Source organism: Homo sapiens, chromosome 3 (assembly GCF_000001405.40).
Source record: "Homo sapiens chromosome 3, GRCh38.p14 Primary Assembly".
Lineage (NCBI taxonomy): Eukaryota > Metazoa > Chordata > Mammalia > Primates > Hominidae > Homo > Homo sapiens.
The window spans coordinates 79,482,953-79,507,160 of NC_000003.12; the positions used below are offsets into that span (position 1 = coordinate 79,482,953).

At 36.8% G+C, this 24,208-nt stretch overlaps 1 protein-coding gene across 10 annotated transcripts in view; it reads right to left on the reverse strand.

Moving 5' to 3' along the window:
• The window catches only part of ROBO1 (roundabout guidance receptor 1), a 1,170,760-nt gene that overhangs the window by 885,714 nt on the left and 260,838 nt on the right, over positions 1 to 24,208 (reverse strand). The gene's annotated exons all lie outside the window — the stretch shown is intronic.

A 24,208-nucleotide genomic window follows, 5' to 3' on the forward strand; every position in this document is an offset into this window, starting at 1 on the left:
CTGCAACATGGCCGAGTCAAACTCCTCAACAACAACAGGGTGTGTTGAAACGGCAAAAGGGAATTACATGGAGAACTCTTTTGGAATAGAGCGACTTCTCCACCCTGCTCTGTCCACTGACCACAGTTGTGTCATGTAAAATATATAAACTTCCACTTTGTTTGAACCAATATTTATTTTTTTATGTCATGGTATTATAATTTTTGCACTATCTAATGTAACTTCTAACACAGACAACAAAGACCCCATCCAGAGACATTGTGAAAAATGGCAGATGGCTGAAGTGGAACAAAAAATGAAAGATTGTTAATTCTGTCATGATACAGAGCAAGGTAAAGGGGAAAGTGAAAGGAAAGTGTTAGAGTGTACTAATTGTGGTCCCATTGAATGGGGCTCAAAGTGAGTTTTCAGTAAGCCTTGCTTTGGGAAAAGCTGAAGATTTTAGTTTTTGATAAATTGCCTCTGAATAAATGACTGCATTCGGATGAAAATGCAGTCATGTATCTCTGAATGCCAAGGATATATTCTGAGAGATGTGTCATTAGGCGATTAAGTCCTGGGAACATCACAAAGGGTACTTTCACAAACCTAGATGCTATAGCCTACTACATACTTGGGCTATAGGATGTAACCTATTGCTCCTAGGCTACAAACCTGTAAATCATGTTACTGTACTAAATGCTGTAAAGAATTGTAACAAAATGGTAAGTATTTGTGTAGGTAAACATAGAAAATGTGCAGGAAAATTGTGATATTATGAAGAATCTTATGGGACCACTGTCATGTATGTGGGTCTATCATTGATGGAAGCATTGCTAAGATGAGCATGACTGTGTCTAGCAGACAATCATGGATCTGGGACGGGGTTGGGGGTGGGGGAACCAAAAAGAAAGCCAGTAGAGAAATCTCTAATATGGGAGCAGTTCATGCAGAAGGAGAGTGCAGAACTGGGGAAGGAAAGCTTTCTCAGTGGGAGAGTTGAAAAGAAAAGCGTGGGTCTGACTGAGGATTGAGCCTTGAGGTACAAGGCATTTAAGCATCAGGAGACCTAACTGCTTTCAAGGACATAACCACAATAGAGAGGAACATTTAATATACCACTTGTTAGCCAAGGTCACTCTTCCCTCTAAGGATAGAAACAGCACTGACCTTGATCAGATGACCAAAATGTTTGCTTTGTCTTAGAGATCCCCCACGGGGATCAGTCAAGTTGCTAGTCTTTCTGAGCCTTAAAATTTTTGTCTGTAAAGTGGGGTGATACATGTTTAAAGTGATCCTGAGGTGCTAGACTGTACATTTCTCTGCTCTCTGCTTGATAAAAGGTCTAGTCAGTTTTCAAGAAAACTTTCAGATGTCAGCACTTCCGTGAAGCCAGAACCCTGCGGAAAAATTCATATCTTTTGATTTTGGTATACTTAAAGCTTAAGTGTTGTGGGAAAGATGCTATTTATTCTTGTAGATTTAAAGTCATTCTGTTACATACTCACTATAATAACAAAGCTTACTTATTAAATAAATACCACAAATAAGGATTTCAGGCATATATATATATGTGTGTGTGTGTATATATGGTGATAAAACGATTGAAATATTTTAATAATTGGCTGAGATTTAGAAATAAGGATTCTTTTACAATTTAGAAGCCATAATTTGGTATGTTGTCTGCTGCTAATTTGAAAAGCCATAATATGCACGTGATAGTTCTCTCCTGTGCTCTAATATACTTGAGGGCCAATGGATAAATATGGGTTAAGTATATTGTGATAAATCACATGGTTTATACACCACTATCATTGCACTATCTTTTTTTTTTTTTTTTTGAGACAGAGTCTCGCTCTGTCACCAGGCCAGAGTGCAGTGGCATGATCTCGGCTCACTGCAAGCTCTATCTCCCAGGTTCAAGCAATTCTCCTGCCCCAGCCTCCTGAGTAGCTGGGACTACAGGCGTGCACCACCATGCCTAGCTAATTTTTGTATTTTTAGTAGAGATGGGGTTTCACCATATTGTCCAGGATGATCTCGATCTCTTGACCTTGTGATCTGCCTGCCTTGGCCTCCCAAAGTGCTGGGATTACAGGCGTGAGCCACCATGCCCAGCCGACTATCTTTACTCTTAGAAAAGACTCTGAAATCTTTCAGGGAGGAGATTTTCCTATATTAATTGTACTAATCTTACTATAGTGTTGAGCTGTGTAGCTGCTATATAGTAGCCATCAATAAATATTTGTTGAATAAAAAGATGTTTGTATGCATGAGTGCTTTGGATAAAATAAGACATTTTATTAATTCTTTTGTTAGTATAGTTGCTATTAAAATGTACACGTTAATTCAAAACATTGAATTACTTAAAATCATGTATAATTCTATCTAGTATTTCTCTGATCAGTCTAAGTTGGTGATATTTATTATAACTTCAAATTGATAATCACAATCATATATATGAAAACGGAATAAGTAATGACATTATTACAAAAGATTAAAATAAAAACCATACATAGTTCCTACACTAAATGTTAACAAAGTATTTTCAAGTTTGAAAATGGCCTTTCCTAATACAAAATTTAGTGTTCACTTCTGTTCTTTTTAGAGGCAGTTTGAGGCTCATATCTGTCATTTTTTTGTTAACCCACAATCGTAATAGATACCATGAGTCAGATACTGTTCTCAGCGCTTTAAAATTATTAACTCATTTAATCCTTACAACAACTCCATCCCCATTTTGCAGATACAGAAAGTAAGGCACAGAGAGGTCTTGTGTTCTACTCAGGGGCCAACTGCCACCACATATTGTCAACCGCAGACACATGTTGGCACTTAACATGTCCCCAATTTAGTGCGTAGTCTTCTCTCTAACACCTTACTGTCCGATTCTTTATACTGTATTAAATAAAGTACCAATTTTACCTATCTTTGAAGACGGGAGTTTGGAAGTCATTTTCAGTCTGTTTCCCATGTCCCATATCCGAATGTTTTCCTGTCTTCAAAGGTTTTCCATTATTCTTTCCCACCTTGTTTTCACCACATTCACAGCCTTATGTATAGACTTTGGAACCACTTAACCTGAATTTCAATTCCAGTTCTGATGCTAATAATCACATGTCCTTGAAAACATGTTATTCTTTATTATTATCTCAATGGCTGTTTCTTCATCTATAAAACAAGGATAACCTTAAAGATTCAATAAAAGCTCTCAGAAGAGTGAGCAGCATAGTAAAGTCTCACAAAGTATTGTCTTTTTTTTAAGTTTATAATTACATTTTATTTTTTATTTTATATTGTATTATTTTTTATAGTTTGTAGTATATCCTCTTATATAAAAACAATTTTGATCTCCTTGTGGTGTATTAAACACATCTTCTTTAATGTACAAAGGTAAACATAAAGAGATTCCTTTATATATACCGATTTCTTTGCCCTGCAAGACCTTTCTTGGCCACCCCAGAGAGTGTTAAACTTTTATTCTCTACTTTCCCAGAATAAGTACCTCTATTTTAGTACATATCATGATCTATTGTAGTTACTTGCTTATTTTCTGACTGTGAACTACTTCCACCTCTCTATCCCCAAGAAAATGCCTACTTTTCTAATATAGCTTAATGGGGAAAAAGGTTACATGAACAAATTAACAGCAGAATATCTCTTTATTCTAAATAAATCAGTTCCACAATTAAGTGCTAATATTGGGTTGCCCAGCAAAATTTTTAGGTAGGGTTCGGGGCATACCTATATTCACAATAGTTTCAAATATGTATTTACCAGTGAAGGGCAGCAGAATATGCCACCCCAAAATATGCCATTTTGGCAAAAGAAGTATTTTGAGCTGAAGGCAAATAAAAAGAAGCAAATATCCAAAAATGCTCTCTGCCCTCTCCCTATCTGCCCAAAAGTAAGACAAAATTTACAGAGCTATCCCTCCTCCCCTCTCTACTAGGAAGGACAAAGGTTGATCAGCAAAGACAACTTTAGACCTTTATCATCCAGGAGACAGTACCTGAGGGATCGACATAACAAACTCTACTAACTGGCCTTTATCTGCCATTTGTTTCCCATATATTTGCCATCCCACAATGTCCCACCCCTAGAGACTCAAGGTCCTTTTCCTTTGTCTTGTCACTCCTCTAAAAGTGTATTGTTCTTTGTTGAAAATGATAAAGAGAGTTCCCAGGAACCTCCTGGAGAATTACTAATTCCCTGGATATTGCCTATGTAATATACATAAAATGTATAAGAAGTTAAAAAACTTCTGTTTGATTTCTCTGGTTTAATTTATTTATTTTTCGTTGTTATAGAGGTCCCACCTGAGAAATCAGATGGGGTAGAGTGAAAATTATTTTTTCTTTCCCTGTAAAGCATGTGCAACATTTTTGGTTGAATGGATATTATAGATAATGACCACAGTACTGTTTGCAATGGCTTTCTGTGTGTGTTTGTTTTGTTTTGTTTTAGTAGAGACGGTGTTTCACCATGTTGGTCAGGCTGGTCTTCAACTCCTGACCTCATGATTCACCTGCCTTGGACTCCCAAAATGCTGGGATTACAGGCAGGAACCACTGCGCCGAGCCAACTTTCTGTTTTATAAAGCCCCTTTATTCTATTTTATCTTACCCTTAAAGAGTATAGACCAGTGGTATAGCTAAGGTTTGAATTGACTCTTTAATTTTCATTCTCCTAACACTATGTTTAGGTTCTATGTTATTAAGACAGCTTTAACTCTTAGCTTTCACCTCAGCCTTTTCTTGTGTCACCTCTCCTACAGGCTTCTGAAGCTTTTCTAAGCCCATAAATAAATATGGGAACATACCATTACTCCACTAAATTAACTTATGAGGTCAAAAATTATTTTAACATATACAACTCATTTCTCAAGATTTAACAGTGGAGGACTTTTATTAATGTGAAATGATTATTTATATTTTTTCCCTAGATAGAAATAGAAAATGGGAACAATAACTCTCCAGGTGTTATAAAAGCAATACAATTTAAAATTGAAGAAAAATTATGAAGATATTAAAAAGTTAGCCAATGAAAACATGAGGCAATTGAGAGGTTAAAATGAGTCATCTAAGATGGATTATTATATTTTATTGAACTGAAAGATATATATTCAGACTCTGTTAGCTGTTCCTGAATTAAAAAAATAATGCTTTCTTTTTAACTGAAAGAAAAATGGAAATAAAAACTTGTCAAATAAACTTAAAGAAATCATGAGACTTATTCTGAATCTGAATGAAAATGACCAAAATGAATCTTTGAGAGGTAAAATTGTATAACTTTAAATATAATTTGCATGAAATAAATGAATTAATATCCAATATTCTCTGTCTCTTCCCCTCCGTTTGCCCAACAAATGGAGGGGGAATTTTTTTTCTTCAAAATATCATCAGATCATTTGAATACTTATAGAGCACTTTAATGGGTCATAACAAATTGGACTGCTTATTGCTCAGGCTAACTTTGGACCAAATTGTGCAAAAGAAAATGTGCATATGAAGATAGAGACTGAGAATGACATCAAGAATAAGTCTTCTTGTGGTGAATATTATTAAATGCCATATGTCATAATTTCCAGTGTGTGATAAAACAACTGTGACCAATAAAAAGAATAGAAATCATAAAAACCAAAGTACTCGTCTATGGTATGATTTTTAAAAATCTGAATTGCTGTCTCAGCATTATACCATACAATATTTTCAAACTCATTAGGAAAATTGACATCTTTTTCACTTATAAATACTCTCTGATATTAATATTCTTGGGTTGTGTTATGGTTATATGAGTCTAATGGACATACACTGCAAGTTAGGAAAAAAGCAAATACTAAAACCTGGCGCCATGTACTTTGGACAAAATGTATTTCTTAGTGTGGACCAATGTCTACATGTATGTGTAAAGTGACAAGGAATTAAGTTTTAATTTGTTGTGGGTCAACTTCTGCCCTTGGATGCTTTATTTATAACTTTTGATGAACTCAGTAAGATTTAGCCTTGAGTCTCCAAAGTCAGAACTGATTCTCCCCTCTCCTCCACAGTAGACAATAACAAAAAACAAATGACCAAACATTTCACTTAATATTCAATTTAGATGGGTCATTTAAAATGATTTTATGATATTATTAGTGAATAAAAAATTAAAATGGAAAATATACATATATAAGTACATATATATATATATATAAAACATGTGGTAAGAAGATAAACTGATTTTTCTCATAAGACTTCAGACTAATCAATTTAAGATAAAAAACTGGCAATTACAATTGTGGAATTCGAAACTATTTAGCTATTTCTTAACATGAATGTGAAGGTATGGCATAAACATTTGAAAAAATGGAATGGCATTAATGAAAAGTTCAAACACATGTCTAAAATTACAATTATTCATCATAAACAGTCACTTAATGTTAAGAAAATAGGTAATTATTGGCCAGGCGCAGTGGCTAACGCCTGTAATCTCAGCACTTTGGGAGGCCGAGGTGGGCGGATCACGAGGTCAAGAGATCGAGACCATCCTGGCCAACATGGTGAAACCCCGTCTCTAATAAAAATTACAAAAATTAGCTGGGTGAGGTGGTGCACACCTGTAGTCCCAGCTACTCGGGAGGCTGAGGCAGGAGAATCGCTTGAACCAGGGAGGCAGAGGTTGCAGTGAGCCGAGAACACGCCACTGCACTCCAGCCTGGGGAGAGTGAGACTTCATCTCAAAAAAAAAAAAAAAAAAGAAAGAAAGAAGTAACAATTTCTGTTTTAGAAAAAAAGGTAATTTTCTACTCTACAAACACCATACAGACAAACAAAATATGAAGAGGTTTCTTTAGGTTACTTGTAGGCTGTCTTTTTTTCCCTGATATTAGCAACATATTTTCCTCACCCACCATTTTCCCAAGTCAGCAATCCCAGTGTGTGCAGCTGCAATACAGTATTCATAAGTGTATTTTTACATATGAAGATTTCATATAATATGTATTTCAAAGGAACTATTCACACACTAATGAAGAATTTGGCATCTCTTCTGAGGATACATTTGTTGATCTTTGAAAGAGACTCCTTTAGGGACAAATCCAAATAACCATTTTTGCCTTGAAGCCGAGGACTTTGAATACTACTTAAAAATTGAGATGCATTGTTATTTGTTGTCATATAAATTCCTCGTCTCTGTACTAGCCTTGGAGTGGATGCTTTCCTATAATTTCCGTGGTTATATTATTCACTGCTTTTTTATCTCTTACTAGAAAAAAAAAGTTAAAAATTGTGTATGGTATATGTGGCTGTTCTTATTTTGACCTCTTCAAGGCACCCGTTGCCTGTCCTTGCCTTATACTCTGGGCTTCAGTCAAACCTTAGCCTTTGTCATCCCCATGGACTCAGCCCCTTTGTATGTGCTGTACTGGAAATCCACTCATTTCCTCTACCCTCCAGTAGGTGGATTCCCCTTCATCTTTGTATAAGAAACACTTTTTACCTCCTGGCCTTAAATCTTCTCTGAACTATTCCAGTTGTTTTGACCAGTCTCTGCCCAATAACATATATATTTAAAAAGGAACAGCCAGAAAACAGGCGCAGAAGAAGCCGAGAAGGAGGAAATGGGAAGGGCTAGAATAAAGGAGAATGAGCTAACTGGGTGAAGAGTTCGGCTTCTAGTTAAAAACCTAAGTGTGATTTTTCAAGTCTGACCATAGGCAATTTCGAAGTGTTGCTTGGCAGGCCTCCCAGGAGAAAGTTGCCTTCCCTGCAGCTGACTTGGTGCACAGCCAATGAATGCATTGCAGTCTCTGAAGGAAATGCGGTCAAGGACTCAAGCCCCTCTGATTGGCCTTGTGCTTATGCATATTTGCATTCCTAGCTGAGACTCTTTTATTCAGAGACCTCTTTATCTGGGGATTTTAGCTGAGACCTTCTTTAGGGAGGGTGACTCGAGGGGGACGCCTTGAAGACTTATTTTTCACTGTGACCTACTATTCAGTAATTTTAAACTCCCAGTCCTCTTCCCTCCCCCTTCCCTTCTCTCTCTCCCTGGATCCCAAGTACATAGAACTGCAGGAGCCTTTAAAAAAAGTGTCTCTATGGTAAATTTATTTATTTCCTATATTATTATTTTTAAACTGAAAGATAAAATTGTGTGTATTTATTGTGTTGTGCAGGAGCCTTTTGTTAAAGGGCTTCAACAGTGAAATAACTGCCTCCAAGTCTGGGCTAATCTACCTGGTCCTAGACAGAGCAGTGCCATTGCTTGGGGGGAAAAATGGAAGGAAAGGGGTGGACGGGGATCGGCTCTTTTTTTTTTTTTTTCCAGTTTTTAACTTCTTGCCTATACTACTAAAGTAAGTGATTAAATACTTGACTACAAACTTTCATTTTTGGCTTGCTGCTTTAATTGATTACTCCAGCATCTGGAAGCTGGGTTCTCTTGAGCTCAGCTGAGCTGCTGACAGTCGGGTTGTAAGAGTAGTCAGCTCCAGGGAGCTTCCCTACAACTTGCAGATGCTAACAAATGGGGGAGCAGAAATAGAACTGTCAGTGAAATACGACCCTGGCTCTAGCTGTCATGAATCACTGTTGTCAGGAACAGATTTGTTAAATTCATGAAATTCTAGAGTGTTCAGCATGTGCATAAAATCTTTGAGAGCAAAGTTGAGAGATGCCAAAAATTTGATTAAACTGCTTATTCTTTTTATCTTCTAGAGTGAAAGAATTCTGTAGCTGCATTTATTCGGGCCATCCTTAGAGTAGTACATTTTGAATTCTGATTGCATCTTTCTACCACAAGAGAAGTGAGGTAGGAAGACGGGAAGAATTCAATGGTTACATTTTCTTAGAAAATGATTTAATCTGACTTTTTTTTTTTTTTTAATTTTGTGGGCAAAATGAAATCTGAGTGGACCAATGACCTCACCATGTCCAGTGTTTGGTTGCTAGTTTGAGATTTGGAAATGGCTGTTCAGGTGAAGAGGTAAATGGATCCAAATGCCTTGTTATAAGGCATTTGACAATGCTTACAGCAGTAGTGTGAATAGAGGGCCATTAAATTCTAGCATAAACATTCCGGGCTACTGGTTATTTTTTGGTTGTAACTTACATTTGAGGTTTTCACAAGAGACAGGCTCTACAAGATACCCTACATGTCTAAAGGACTAAGAATTGGAGAGCCCTGACATTGAATTAGGACGTAGTTTTGCACCACAAAAGAGGCCGTAGGTCAGGCACGGTGGCTCACGCCTGTAATCCCAGCACTTTGGGAGGCCGAGGCAGGCGGATCACCTCAGGTCAGGAGTTTGATACCAGCCTGATCAACGTGGTGAAACCCCGTCTCTACTAAAAATGCAAAAATTAGCCAGGCGTGGTGGCTGGTGCCTGTAATCCTAGCTACTTGGGAGGCTGAGGCAGGAGAATCGCTTGAACCCGGGAGGCAGAGGTTGCAGTGAGCTGAGATAGCGCCATTGCACTCCAGCCTGGGCAATAAGAGTGAGACTCTGTTTCAGAAAAAAAAAAAAAAAAAAAGAGACTGTAGAGTTTAATATAGAATTATATATTTTAAATTATGAAAACCATTTATGAGTTATTTTCTCATAAACTTAAAGATATAATATATAAATATACACACATAGGCATATGTAGGTATGTACACACATATATAAATAAATGTATTATGGGAATACTATAAAAATGGCGTTAGCTCAAAGCCAAAGAAATAACCCTACTAAGAAATTCATAAATTAAGCTAGATCCTATAAACACAAAAAATATTACAGATTCAGAAATACGTACTAAATACACATCTGACATATAATGTATTAGCATTGCATGAATTTGTATGAGATCCACAACTTACAAATTTTCTAATTCTACTGGAATTAATGTATACATTTGTGAAATTGATAGGATAATTTCAAAATAATTGCTTGCTAAAAAGACACACAACTAAGACCTTAACACTATTATTCTTATTAAAATTCCCATATCTAATTCCCATAGCAGTCATATCAAATCAGAAATTGAGAGCACAAGTCAACACTGTATTACTTTTATTAACTGAATACAATCTAATTTAAGATTCTTAAACTATAAAAGAGAGTCAAAATATAAATAATAAGAAGCAAAAATACAAAATATATTGGAAAACAAAATACATCAGGCTTTATTAATTAAGAGATTTGGCAAATCACTCTAACATGAATGTTTAAGATAAAATATAGCTATTATAACATATTAAAAAGGTAAGATATTATAATTTTTAAAACATATTATTCTTGGTTTTAATAGCTGTTCACACTTCCCATTTTTATTGCCTAAATTTTAAAAATGCCCTTGCTACAAAAACATAATTTTTGATTTGCAATTTTATAAACTCTAAAAATAGTAATTATTAACATATGTTAGAATTTATAATATGTGATGAATTTCTATGGTGGATGTATCCATAACAGAAAAACTGATAGGTATTAACTAAAATTAAAAATGATTCATTTATTTAACAATTATTTTAAGGTCATTTATGCTGTTAGACACTGTGCTAAGACCTAAGGATATCAAAATAAATAAAAGTATGTAATTTTTAAAGGATTACATTGGAATGGACATTGACTAGTTTTTGTTTTGTTTTGTTTTTTGTTTTGGTTAGTTAGGTGTTCATTTTTACTGAAAATATTTAAAAGTTTGTTGAAAAAAGGTTTTTTATTTTATTAATTTGATAAATAATTTAAAAAATCAAAATAATTATGAATTTTATACCAAAGGTAAGCTTTTAAATTTTTTATTTTTAATTTTTATGGGTACACATTAAGCATACATATTTATGGAATACTGGAGATATTTTGATACAGGTATACAATGTGTAATAATCATATCAAGGTAAATAGGGGTATCCACCACCTCAGGTATTCATCATTTCTTTTGTTAGAAACATTCCAGTGATACTGCCTCAGTTATTCTAAAATGCAAAACAAATTATTACTAACTATAGTTACCCTGCTGTACTATCAAATACTAGATCGTATTCATTGTATCAAACTATATTATCAAAGATAAGTTTGAAGTTCATGGCAGAAATCACAAAATTCCTAGTTCTGTTTACAATGGCTTTTTGAACTATTTGCTCTAAAAGTCATGTAAGAATAAGACTGCTTATTAGAAATCTCCTGAAGAATGCGTGCCAAGTACTATGAGATGTGGACTTTGGACTGCTCCACTGTCTCCATCTCCACACTTTTTTTCTCCCCACGCCCCATGCTCCATACTTTTTTCAGCAAAAAAGGTGAATTCATCTTTTTTGAATCCACATCCAAAGGCAAATTTTAAACATTAATAATTCAGCATGAGACTTATAGAAGAAACCTGTAAAACACACAAACAATTAAGGAATAAGCCACAATAAAAAGTCATGTAAAGGTTATATATCATAAAAATTACATAAAAATAGGTTCTTTAGATAATTTTCCTTAACCTCAATGAAGTTTTATAATTTTGTTTAAAACACAAGGAAACAAATAAAAGGGCTATCTGCAAAAAAATACAATTTTTTAAAAGTAAGGAAACTAGCAAGGAACAGACTTGGAAGACAAAGGATGAAAAGTGAACTACAGAGTTAAGAGAAACAAATGAAGATGAAACAAAACAGAAGAAATACACATTAACAGATTCAGAATCCAGAGATGTGAGGAATCCACATAAAACAAATTCAAAAAAGAGCAAAGGCAATTGCACAAAACACAATAGAGGAGAATAGTAAAGAAAGCACTTTTGGCATTAACATAATTGGTTTCCACAAAAAAAGTGTACAAAATGAAGAACGAATAGAAAACAATTTCAAGATATAACAGAAAAAAATATTAAATGAGTATTTGAATCCACAAGTTGAAAAGAAACAGTTACTGCAGGAAAAACTGATGCAAAATGATCACTGAGTCAGATATTCTCAAGACTAATTTATCCATATGACCCCTAATAGGGAGGCTTCCGATAATGATCCTACCTGAAAATGCATCAGCGCTTACACCTAATCCAATATTTCTACACTTTGTTTTACTTTCCTCTAAAGAATGGATCACCATCTGACATAGATAGATTGACAGATAGGTAGATAGATAGATAGATAGATAATTTGTTTATTGCCTCTTACCCTGATTAGAATGTATACTCTGAAAGCCAGATTTTTAAAAGCATGATTATATCTCTAGATACTATATTTAGTAGATGAGTATTTAATAAGCATTTTTGAACAAATAAATGTAATTTAATAAATAATCATATGGTAATTGGGACAAAGAAAGAGCAGATCTCATTCAAGAGGGCAATTCTTACCTATCAGAATTCTCCAGAGTAACAATCACATAAAGAGGGGCGAACAATAACAACAGTAATTCAAAGTGTACTCTGACAATTGGCTTCAAAGTATAAAAATAATAGACAAGAGTCACAAGAATACTTGGGGAATATGTAATTCCTTCTTGAAAAGAACATTTTTGAAATACATAAAAAAACCCAGAAATGAAAATAAATGTTTCAAAAATGACATCCTGAAAAAGATCTATTTAAATACATATCTAAGGCTAAGCAACCATATGGATTATGGTTACAGAATTAAATGGAAAGTCTTAAACTTTGACATTAAAATATTTATAAAACTAATATAATTAAGACATAAGGGGGAAGTGTTATGTGGAAGGGTGCTGATTTCTGCCATTCATTGTTGAGAGTTGATATTATCTAACTTTGATACATGCGGTTAAAATGATACTTTCCAAAACTTCTTCATAATCTTATATATTAATTTTAGAAGTACTATTGAAAATGAACATTTCTTTCTGTATCTCTTTTTCCTTATATCTCAGTTTATAAATCAATATATTCTTCTAATTTTCTGTTTTGCTAACATCAATATCTATTTCGCTAACATCAATACCTCAGTTTCCTCACTTATGAATGGAGATAAAATAATAGCACTTATTGCGTAGGGAAATAGGAATGTTAAAAAATGACATAGGTAGGCCAGGCACAGTGGCTTACACCTGTAATACCAGCACTTTGGGAGGCCAAGGCGGGTGGATCACCTGAGTTTAGGAGTTGGAGACCAGCCTGGCCAACATGGTGAAACCCCGTCTCTACTAAAAATACAAATATTAGCCAGGTGTGGTGGTACGTGCCTGGAATCTCAGCTACTTGGGAGGATGAGGAGTGAGAATATCTTGAACCTGGGAGTTGGAGGTTGCAGTGAGCCAAGATCACACCAATGCACTCCAAACTAGGTGACAGAGCAAGACTCTGTCTCAAAAAAAAAAAAAAAAAAAAAAGACTCGTAAAGCACTTAAAACCTCTTACAGGTATATTCTTTCTATGTATATAATATGTAAGTAAAAACGATAGTTTATCTGGATTGTGATTTGACAATAAAAAAAAACAAATCTTTGCTGGTTACATTTTTGGTATAATGCTGCGCACCCATCTTTTTTTGAGACGGAGTCTCGCTCTGTCGCCCAGGCCGGACTGCGGACTGCAGTGGCGCAATCTCGGCTCACTGCAAGCTCCGCTTCCCGGGTTCACGCCATTCTCCTGCCTCAGCCTCCCGAGTAGCTGGGACTACAGGCGCCCGCCACCGCGCCCGGCTAATTTTTTGTATTTTTTTTTAGTAGAGACGGGGTTTCACCTTGTTAGCCAGGATGGTCTCGATCTCCTGACCTCATGATCCACCCGCCTCGGCCTCCCAAAGTGCTGGGATTACAGGCGTGAGCCACCGCGCCCGGCCGCACCCATCATTTTTATACCTATCAAAATAGCCTTTAAATGTAATATTATTAACTCAGTAAAAATTATGGAGAAAATGTTACTATTTCATTGCAATAGGTGACAATTATGTCCATTACTGTATAATATCTGTCATAGGGAATTAAAGTATACTATCACATATGTAAATCATTGTTTCTAAATATGATTGCATTAAAATGTACATTATCATTTTCCAAAACTGGTTGTTTATCTCTTCCCAACCTGTCAATGTTGCTTTGCTCTCTTAAGAAAAAGTTATTTGCAAACAAAAGAAGATAAAACATTATGCTCTCTCTAACATCGCTGTCTCAGGGACAACTACTCATATTTAGATTTTTTTAAAGTGTAAATATTAAAGAATCTGAGGAGAAGCAGAAGGTAAGAGAGGACAGGCTGTAGTTAGGGTGATGTTGCTTGGAAAGACTTAAAGAAAATGGCGATGCTGCAAGTTTCAAGCAGATTCTATTTCTCAGAAAAGATTGAGAATTGTTCGTCTGATACACATTATTTAACCAGTTTTTCTTTTTAAAATGGTCTCTGAGAATGTGTAATGAACAAATGCTTTTATTTTGTCAAAACTGAATTTCAAATTTACTACCAACATCTCCCAAGATTTTTTATTTTATTTTTCGTTAACCTGTAACTCCTTAACATATTTATACTTTAAAACACATATGAAATTATTTGATTTAAAAACTCATTACATATAAAATAATATCTTTTTTGTTTTGTGTTTTGTCTTCTTGTAATTATGGTAACTGGAAAAGTATTGATTAATTGAAATCAGAGCAACATTCACAATATTATCTTTTATAAGTGAGACAATATTCACGAAGAACCACATGTGCATCATAAAAATAACAATTAATGCTGACCGATGCTAAATATTAAGTAAATGACATTTATTGATGAAAAAAGATTAAAATTTGATTATCCCCCTTGAAACTGCGAAGGGACAAAAATCTTGGCACATGTTGCCCTCTAGTGGAACTTTAAAGATAGGCAGTTGAATTATATTTTGGTGCTTTCAATATGTGCAATTCAGTTTACTATTACAATTTTAAAAACAAATTAATATTTTTCTTTTAAAACGGTAAGTACTATAAAATCTTTTCAATTAATTTGTTGTAGTTGATAGGTTTGGTATTTTTAAAAATCAAAAATTTGAAAATAAAAATAAAGTGTCTCATAGCCATTAAAGGCCAAGAAGGTGTTGTTAGTCATATAATCATATAACAAGAATAGTAGAAATAATAAATAGCTCAGGAATATAATTTTATTTGCTTCGAATTTTTGCTGAGCAATGTTACCTAACCTGATTGTATGAAACTATCATCGAATCTCATCTCTCTACAATTAGAATGACCAACACAGTATTTTATGAAAAACGATAATTTGAAAAGCTTTTACTATCAACAAATAAGAACCAGTGTTCACAGAAATATGAAAAAATAATTTTTCAAAAGCATTTTTGTCATCTTTTGATTTGCTTTTCAAAGAAAACATTTTATTGTATTATATCTGTTATTTTTTATTTTATAATTTCAATACATATTGATGTAGATCGATTTTCCTAATTTATACCGCCATATGGAAGAGGTGTGAATGCATGATATTGTACAAAATACAAAATATATTCTATTTACGGTAGGCACTTAAAACTATGTTATTATAAATTCAACAGTTTGCATCATTTGTTGATTCTTACTTTAATATTACTGTTGCTTATCTTTTACAATACCTAATTTAAGCATATATAGGTTTAAGATGAGAATCTTATTTCTGTAATTCGACAGTATACCTTGTCCTAAAAAACAGTTTAAAAATATGGTAGCGCAACTAATAGTATAAAAAATATGATTTGTGGCCGGGCACGGTGGCTCACGCCTGTAATCCCAGCACTTTGGGAGGCCGAGGCAGGTGGATTACCTGAGGTCAGAAGTTCAAGACCAGCCTGCTCAACGTGGTGAAACCCCGTCTCTACTAAATATACAAAAATTAGCCAGGTGTGGAGGTGGGCGCCTGTAATCCCAGCTACTCGGGAGGCTGAGGCAGGAGAATCACTTGAACCCGGGAGGCAGAGGTTGCAGTGATTGAGCCATTGTGCTCCAGCCTGGGCAACAAGAGCGAAATTTCACCTTTGCCTCAGAAAAAAAGAAAAAAAAAAGATTTGTGATTCCACTTACCATATGAAAAATTATAAAATGAATATTTAGTCAACTATATCCCTTGTTTACTCATTAACAAATGCTTACATTTCAAAACCATTCTTTAATTTTTTAAATTTTTATTAACTTTTGTGTATGTGATGGAATTTTGCTTTTGTCGCCCAGGCTGGAGTGCAATGGCGAAATCTCAGCTCACTGCAACCTCTGCCTCTCCGGTTCAAGGGATTCTCTTGCCTCAGCCTCCTGAGTACCTGAGATTACAGGCACGCACCACCACGCTCAGCTAATTTTTGAATTGTTAGTAGAGACGGGGTTTCGCCATGTTGGCCAGGCTGGTCTCGAACTCCCGACCTCAGGTGATCCACCCACCTTGGCCTCCCAAAGTGCTGGTATTACAGCCTTGAGCCACCGCGCCCGGCCCAAAACCAGTCTTTAAAAACAATTTAAGCTGGCTAAGTCTATCAGAAATTATAAAGTAATTAAAAATAGTCCTAGGCTATTTAAAGAATGCTAAATACATCTGTAAAGCAAACTAAAGCTAAATGAGCTAAAATAATACATAAGACAATTAGTCCAACCTGTAGGCTATTTTTGTTATTTCTTATAAATATTTCAATTTCATATTTTACATTGTGGTATATACTGTCTATGGATTAAACAATCACAACCTTTCCCCTTATTCAATTTTTCCCTTATTCCTTCAAAACAATGACCACAAGCAGATCATTAAACACAGAATAAGATTCGAAACTTCTTTTAAAATTAAAACATTAACAGAATAAGAAAATAAATATTGTGTTATGGTAATGTGAGTTTTGTCATTGGACATATCAGATAATTTACACTAGGTACAAGAGGCAGCTTTTGTAGCTACCAGTATCTCCCGAGATTGGGAGATCTTTATTAAGACCTTCATTAAGATCAATGACTGGGCAAGTTTTAATTTAATTAATTAATTGATTGATTTTATCTGTTGCCCGAGAGTGATGGGGCGCAATCTTGGCTCTCTGCAACCTCCGCCTCCCTGGTTCAAGCAATTCTCATGCCTCAGTCTCCCGAGTAGCTGGGATTGCAGGCGTGTGCCAGTATGCCCGGGTAATTTTTGTATTTTTTACTAGAGATGGGGTTACACCGTATTAGTCAGGCTGCTTTCAAACTCCCGACCTCAGGTGATCCACCCACCTCAGCCTCTCAAAGTGCTGAGATTACAGTCGTGAGCCATCCCATGCGGCAGTAAGTTTTCTCTTTTTTTTTTTTTTTTTTTTTTTTTTTTTGAGAAGAAGTCTCGCTCTGTCGCCCAGGTTGGAGTGCAATGGTGCTATCTCAGCTCGCTGCAACCTCCGCCTCCAGGTTCAAGCGATTCTCCTGTCTCAGTCTCCGGAATAGCTGGGATTACAGGCATGCGCCACCACGCCAGGCTACTTTTTGTATTTTTAGTAGAGACAGGGTTTCACCATGTTGGCCAGGCTGGTCTCGAACTCCTGACCTCAGGTGATCCACCTGCCTCGGCTTCCCAAAGTGCTGGGATAACAGGCGTGAGCCACCGGGCTTGGCCCCAGCCGCAAGTTTTAATTTGTCCTCAGTGAGGTGCTGAGCTCCATTGTTGTTGATGTCTTTCTTGTTTTCCTCTTTCATTGCTCCTGTGACGCACCTGCCCTTGCAAGACTGTCACCGTGCTTCTCCCTCTATCATCCTGTCCGTGAAGACCTGATGACTCCTCTTTACTAATGAGAATTCAAGGTCTACTCTTCAAAGCAACCTCTAGGAAACGCCTTTTTCATTAATCAATTTTCAAGTTGAGGAGGACAGAAAGGAATGATATTAGCGAAGTACATGGTCACATAAGCTTGAGAAGCTCTGGGTGCTTTCCATACTTGCCTACTTACCACTTTTTCAGAGAGGCTAAATTTAAATGGGGGATAAAGGGCTAATATATCATCTATTCCAATACCGTATGCATTTTAGCAAGGGGGACCTAGCAACACAATAAAGGTGTGATGTGAAATGTCAAACCAGCTTTGTTACGTTGGCATATTCAGAATATAACCTAACTCTCTTTCTCTCTCTCTCTCTCACATCACCCTTTCCTCCCCCACCATCACTCCTCCACCTCAGATGAGCCTTCCACACCCCTCACCACTCACTCACACATTTAGCAAGATCTTGGCTGGTCAAGTTTTGGCAACACCATACCTCTAAGGCAGGGTATGGCAAACCATGGAGTGGACCTTCACCTGTTTTTTATAAGTCATTTTTTATTGGAAAACTATCACACTCATTTGTTTATCTATTGACTATGGCTGTATTATTTTCAAAATGTTGCTGTTCTATGGTTTTTGAGATGTAGTAACAGAGAATGGATGGTCCTCAAAGTCTAGCCAATGTTTGCCTACCTCTGCCCTACAGAATTTTTATTTTCTTAACTAGTTCACGAAGCACCACCTCAATGACTTTTTCACTGACCCGGCACCGTTCTAGTGACCCTGCTTTTCATCTTTCAGAACAGAGCAGAGCAAAAAGCTATTTCTTGGCATTGATGTCTTCTGAGGGAATAAAATATTAAATGCAAATGTGATTCCATGACTACTAAAGCTAGTAATGGTGATGACCCTTAGAAAATGAGTGTCTCTATGCCAATTTGTTCATTCTTTCAGTGGAGAGAGCAGCTCTGCAGATCAAACTGAGGTGAAAGAGAATTCTTCAACAGGGTTGCCTCCCTAGCTATCAAAGCTTTTAGAATAAACCAGAAAAAACTTTGTCATGCATCTGTCAAATTCAGTTAAAAGATTAGTTTTTTATCCTGTACTGATTAAATTATTTTTGAAGTTAGGCAAGAAATCTTCGTAATCCCATGATTACATCCACAAAAGGCTTTTTTTAAAAAAACAAATCTATGTCAAACCAATTCCTATTATTCTTAAATCCATCAACATACATGCTTCCAAGGCCATGTGATCTCCACTTATGAATAACGGCCAGTATCAGTTTTGACTGTATTGAACAATGTCCCTCTTTATTTTAGTCCAGGAAATGTGTAGAATTGTTTTTGTTAACAACACTATACTGAGATTAACAGCTAAGGCTGGACACAGTCGTTTGAGTAAGATAGCTCTAACTGTAACATATATCGGTGTAGAGAAAGCTTAGGCCTTTCCTTACCTTAGTGGAATGAGGCTAGCAAAGCCCACAGGAATACAAAGTGAGAGGTGACAGCATGCTGGCAGCCCTCGCAGCCCTCACTCGTTATCCGCGCCTTCTCGGCCTTGGCGCCCACTCTGGCCGCGCTTGAGGAACCCTTCAGCCCGCCGCTGCACTGTGGGAGCCCCTTTCTGGGCGGGCCAAGGCCAGAGCCCGCTCCCTCAGCTTGCGGGGAGGTGTGGAGGGAGATGCGCGGGCGGGAACCGGGGCTGCGCGCGGCGCTTGCGGGCCAGCGCGAGTTCCGGGTGGGCGGGGGCTCGGCGAGCCGCACTTGGAGCAGATGGCTGTCCCCGCCGCCCGGGCAGTGAGGGGCTTAGCACCTGGGCCAGCAGCTGCTGTACTCGATTTCTCGCCGGGCCTTAGCTGCCTCCCCGCGGGGCAGGGCTCGGGACCTGTAGCCCGCCATGCCTGAGTCTCCCCCCGCCCCTTCCCCACCGCCATGGGCTCCTGCACGGCCTGAGCCTCCCAGACGAGCGCCATCCCCTGCTCCACAGCTCCCAGTCCCATCCACTGCCCAAGGGCTGAGGAGTGCAGGCGCACAGCGCGGGACTGGCGGGTAGCTCCACCTGCCGCCCCATGCGAGATCCACTGGGTGAGGCCAGCTGGGCTCCTGAGTCTAGTGGGGACTTGGAGAATCTTTATGTCTAGCTAAGGGATTGTAAACACACCAATCAGCACCCTGCATCTAGCTCAGGGTTTGTGAATACACCAATCAGTACTCTGTGTCTAGCTCAGGGTTCGTAAATACACCAGTCAGCAGTCTGTATCTAGCTAATCTAGTGGGGAGGTGGAGAACTTTTGTGTCTAGCTCAGGGATTGTAAATGCACCAATCAGCACCCTGTGAAAACGGACCAATCAGCTCTGTAAAATGGACCAATCAGCTCTCTGTAAAATGGACCAATCAGCAGGATGTGGGTGGCACCAGATAAGAGAATAAAAGCAGGCTGCGTGAGCTAACAGTGACAACCTCTCAGGTCTCTTTCCACACTGTGAAAGCTTTGTTCTTTAGCTCTTTGCAATAAATCTCGCTGCTGCTCACTCTTTGGGTCTACACTGCCATTATGAGCTGTAACACTCACTGCGAAGGTTTGCAGCTTCACTTCTGAAGCCAGCGAGACTACGAACCCACCAGGAGGAATGAACAACTGCAGACGCCCCACCTTAAGAGCTGTAACACTCACCAGGAAAGTCTGCAGCTTCACTCCTGAGCCAGGAAGATCACGAACCCACCAGAAGGAAGAAACTCCGAACACATGGGAACATCAGAAGAAACAAACTCAGGACACGCCACCTTTAAGAACTGTGCTTTTAAGAACTGTACCACTCACCGCTAGGGTCTGCGGCTTCATTCTTGAAGTCAGTGAGACCAAGAACCTACCAATTCCGGACACACAAGCACAATGTTATGAAGTGATACGGCAACTACCAGAAAACTCTTAGGGAAATTGATGTTGTGCACCCTTGGGTAAGTCACTTTAATGTGTCTTTTTGTCTCATCTCTATAAACAACAAAACCACACAGCTCCTGTGTTGGAGGATAGGTCTGTGTCGAAGGAGCAAGATGATATAGGAAGATGAAGAAATAAATGAAAAAGCAGCAACTCCCAAAGTCTGTTTAGACTTCATAATTGTCTCTGAGAAATCTGTTTTCAGTCTACTATATAAAATGATGATAAATGGAACCATGTTTTTCCCATTGTATTTTAAGACAATGGCTATTGTCTGGATTTGTCTATAAAAACTTTTCAGAAATTGCTGCAATCCGTTCAACAAAGACTCCTTTCAATTAGGATAAACTTTGGCAAAATGGCCGTCTTATGGTTTAGGAAGGAAGTTTCATATTCTTATTATCTACATTTATCAGCCTTACTTTACAAGGCACAGAAGAAATTTACTCCTGGTTGACAGAACTCCCAAGGTCTGGACTCTTGAGTTTCAATAAAACTGTCTTTTTATAAACTCACATGCAATAGTACTCTAAAAATTCTCAATCTTGGCCATATTTTTAATATTAAAAAATTAACAATTATAACAATAACATTTTAAAATCTAAGTTAAATTTAGATGTAATACTATATGTAGCATTGGTTACGTTAAATCAAGGGCATTATATTTGAAAAGATTCTACATATATCTAATTTGCCCTCTGATTTGGAAGATACATTTTTATTATCTTCAAGGCATAACCTTTTGTGGAAACATTTTTGGTTTAATAAATGCCTGTTGATAAAGTTAGAAAATATTAGTAAATCTCCAGACTAATATAAATGTATAAATATATATTCATATTTTTGTTAGAAACATAATTTGCTTTGTAAAATGCTGAAAATAAGAGACCTATTTTTTCTGATGTTTCCTATGAAGAATGTATTAAAGGTAGAATCTTAAGCCAAATATGAAATTATGAAAAATAAATTGAAAGATATATTTTTTAAGCTTGAAAATTGGATAGACAACTAAATACATGATGTCCGCATTTTCCAATGAAGAGTTTAAGTGAATTAATTTAACAATTATTTTAGATAGCTCATTATATTTCAGTATTGTTTTAGGTGACCATTGGCAGACTCATAATTTGAACTAATACTTATCTCTTAATTACTTTAGTGTATTGGAATGGAAAATGCAAATTTTGTATTTCATGCTATCTCCCCAATTTGTTTGATTTTTTTCTTACTGCCTAGTTAACAGGCAGATATCCATAACTGCAACAATTTTACCAGTAATACATAATGTTTCACAAAAAGGAGAAGCCATAGTTGGGCATATGTGTGTGTATCTTTCTATGTGTGTCTGTGTGTGTGTGTATGTATGCGGAGATACTTAGTAGAGCATCTGAAGTTCTGGCATAATTTTCTTCATTCAATAAGGCAAATAGTTATATGATTGTAATAGAAGGTATATCCCATTTTGCAGCTCTTAAAATACTTTATAGATGCTAAGAATACCTCCCTGAAAAAAAAAAACTTTTTGAATATTCAATCCCTTAACAATTATGTTCTTACTTATATTAAAATGAATTCCTGTATAATTTATCATGGAGGTGAAACTGGTGTGAATTTGCCGCATTGGAAGACAGCATTAACTGAAGAATTCAGCTCTAAACAAAGACATTTTAATTTATTAAACTTCTTTCTATATATTTTTTTTTTCTTAAATTGACTTTCTACTTCTGTTCAGACCATTTTCAGTCTTCCAGCGAAGAAAAAAAAAGAGACAAAGAAAAGTAAGAGGAAGCAGGTTGAGGAAGGATAGAGAGAGAAAGAGAAAGAGATTTCATCTCTTGTAAATTGCCAAATTGCGACAATGATATAAGAAAGACACAGCTTAGATCGAACAAAGCAGAAGTCTAAAACTAAATGTCATGCTGTCAGAGTTCAGGAAAGCAAGGTATATGTTCTCCAAAGCTCAGCAGGCAGGATGAACTTTTTCCTGATTTAAGGACCATGCTGAGAGAGAAGAAGAGAGGAGTCTATTTTAGCATCTGAAAACCAATGATTTGGAGAGAAAGAGGACATGGCTGCCTAATACCAGGGAAAGCTTACAATACTTTGCAGTAACGATCATTGGCTTGACAGTCTCTCCACTACAGACGAGGTGTAAGAAGGACAATAAAGATGAAGAGCAAACGTAGATTACTGTCTTGTAGGGTAGGTAATACAGGCAGACAAATAATGATAACATAAGGTAGACTGTTGCAAGCAATGTATACAGTGGTAGGTTTACAGAGCAGTGAAGTTATTACAGTTGTAATTTTAAGATTTAGCTTCAGGGAAGAATTAATAGGTGAGGTATGCTTTGAATGATGGGTATGATAGACATGGGTAAGGGAGAATTACAGGCCATGACCACAGTGTATGTAGATGCACAGAGGGATGATCCTATCAGTGGCATTTGTGGAAGAGCAACTAACTGAAGTAAACCAAAATACTAACTATATTAAGAGGGTTAATGTTAAGCCTGGACTGGAAATACACCTAGACAACATCTTATCTGAATGAATAAAGAATCTGCATTTTATTAAATTGAAAGAGAGATCACAGGTTTATTTATTTATTATTATTATATTAATTATTTTTAATATGGCAAGTGTTTTGAGATTTTATGATGAGAAATATGCTTTACAAAAAAAGCCTTTCGTAGCAGTGAGGAATAACTGAAATAGATAGTAAGTGGAGGCAGCAATATCAATTAGAAGATTTTTAAGGATATGAATGTCAAATCGTAAGATGCCTAACCAGCAACGGGGTGAATAGAAGTAAGAGATAATGAAATGACAAATAATTAGAATTTATCTGTTTATTGAAGTAGGAACAGAAAAAGTTACTCATCAGATGCCAACAGTAAGTTTCAAAGAAAAGAAATAGAAAAACAATGAGATGAAGCAATTTTTTTTTTTTGAGATGGAGTCTCACTCTGTTGCCAGGCTGGAAGGATCTCGGCTCTCTGCAACCTCCACCTCCCGGGTTCAAGTAATTCTCCTGCCTCAGCCTCCTGCATAGCTGGGACTACAGGCATGCACCACCACGCCCAGCTAATTTTTGTACTTTTAGTAGAGACAGGGTTTCACCATGTTGGCCAGGATGGTCTCGATCTCCTGACCTCGTGATCCACCCGCCTTGGCCTCCCAAAGTGCTGGGATTACAGGCGTGAGTCACTGTGCCCGGCTGAGACAAAGCAATTTTTAAAACAAGTGGATGAATTTGGTGTTAAGTATGTTGAGTTTCAAGTGTCATAAAAGCATATGTGCAACTTACATATTAGGTATGTGAAAGGTTTAAACTGGCAAGTAGGAAAGAGTGTGAATTTGTTATCCATTAACCAAATATCCAAACCCCAATGGAAAGATTACAGAGTTCATAGGAGGTTACTGGAAGGCAATTTGTGTCAGGTTACAACACACTGCCAGTGCTTTATGCAGCCACATCACCTAGATTCTGGAAGTGTCAGTTGCCCAATCAATCAACATACATAATAGAGCTCCTCTTGAGCCCTGGCACTGTTTTACATAAGGGGATCAAACCTGATGATAGATCATGATTCCTATTATAATGCTTAGAGCACATTAGCCGGTTTATTAAAAGCAG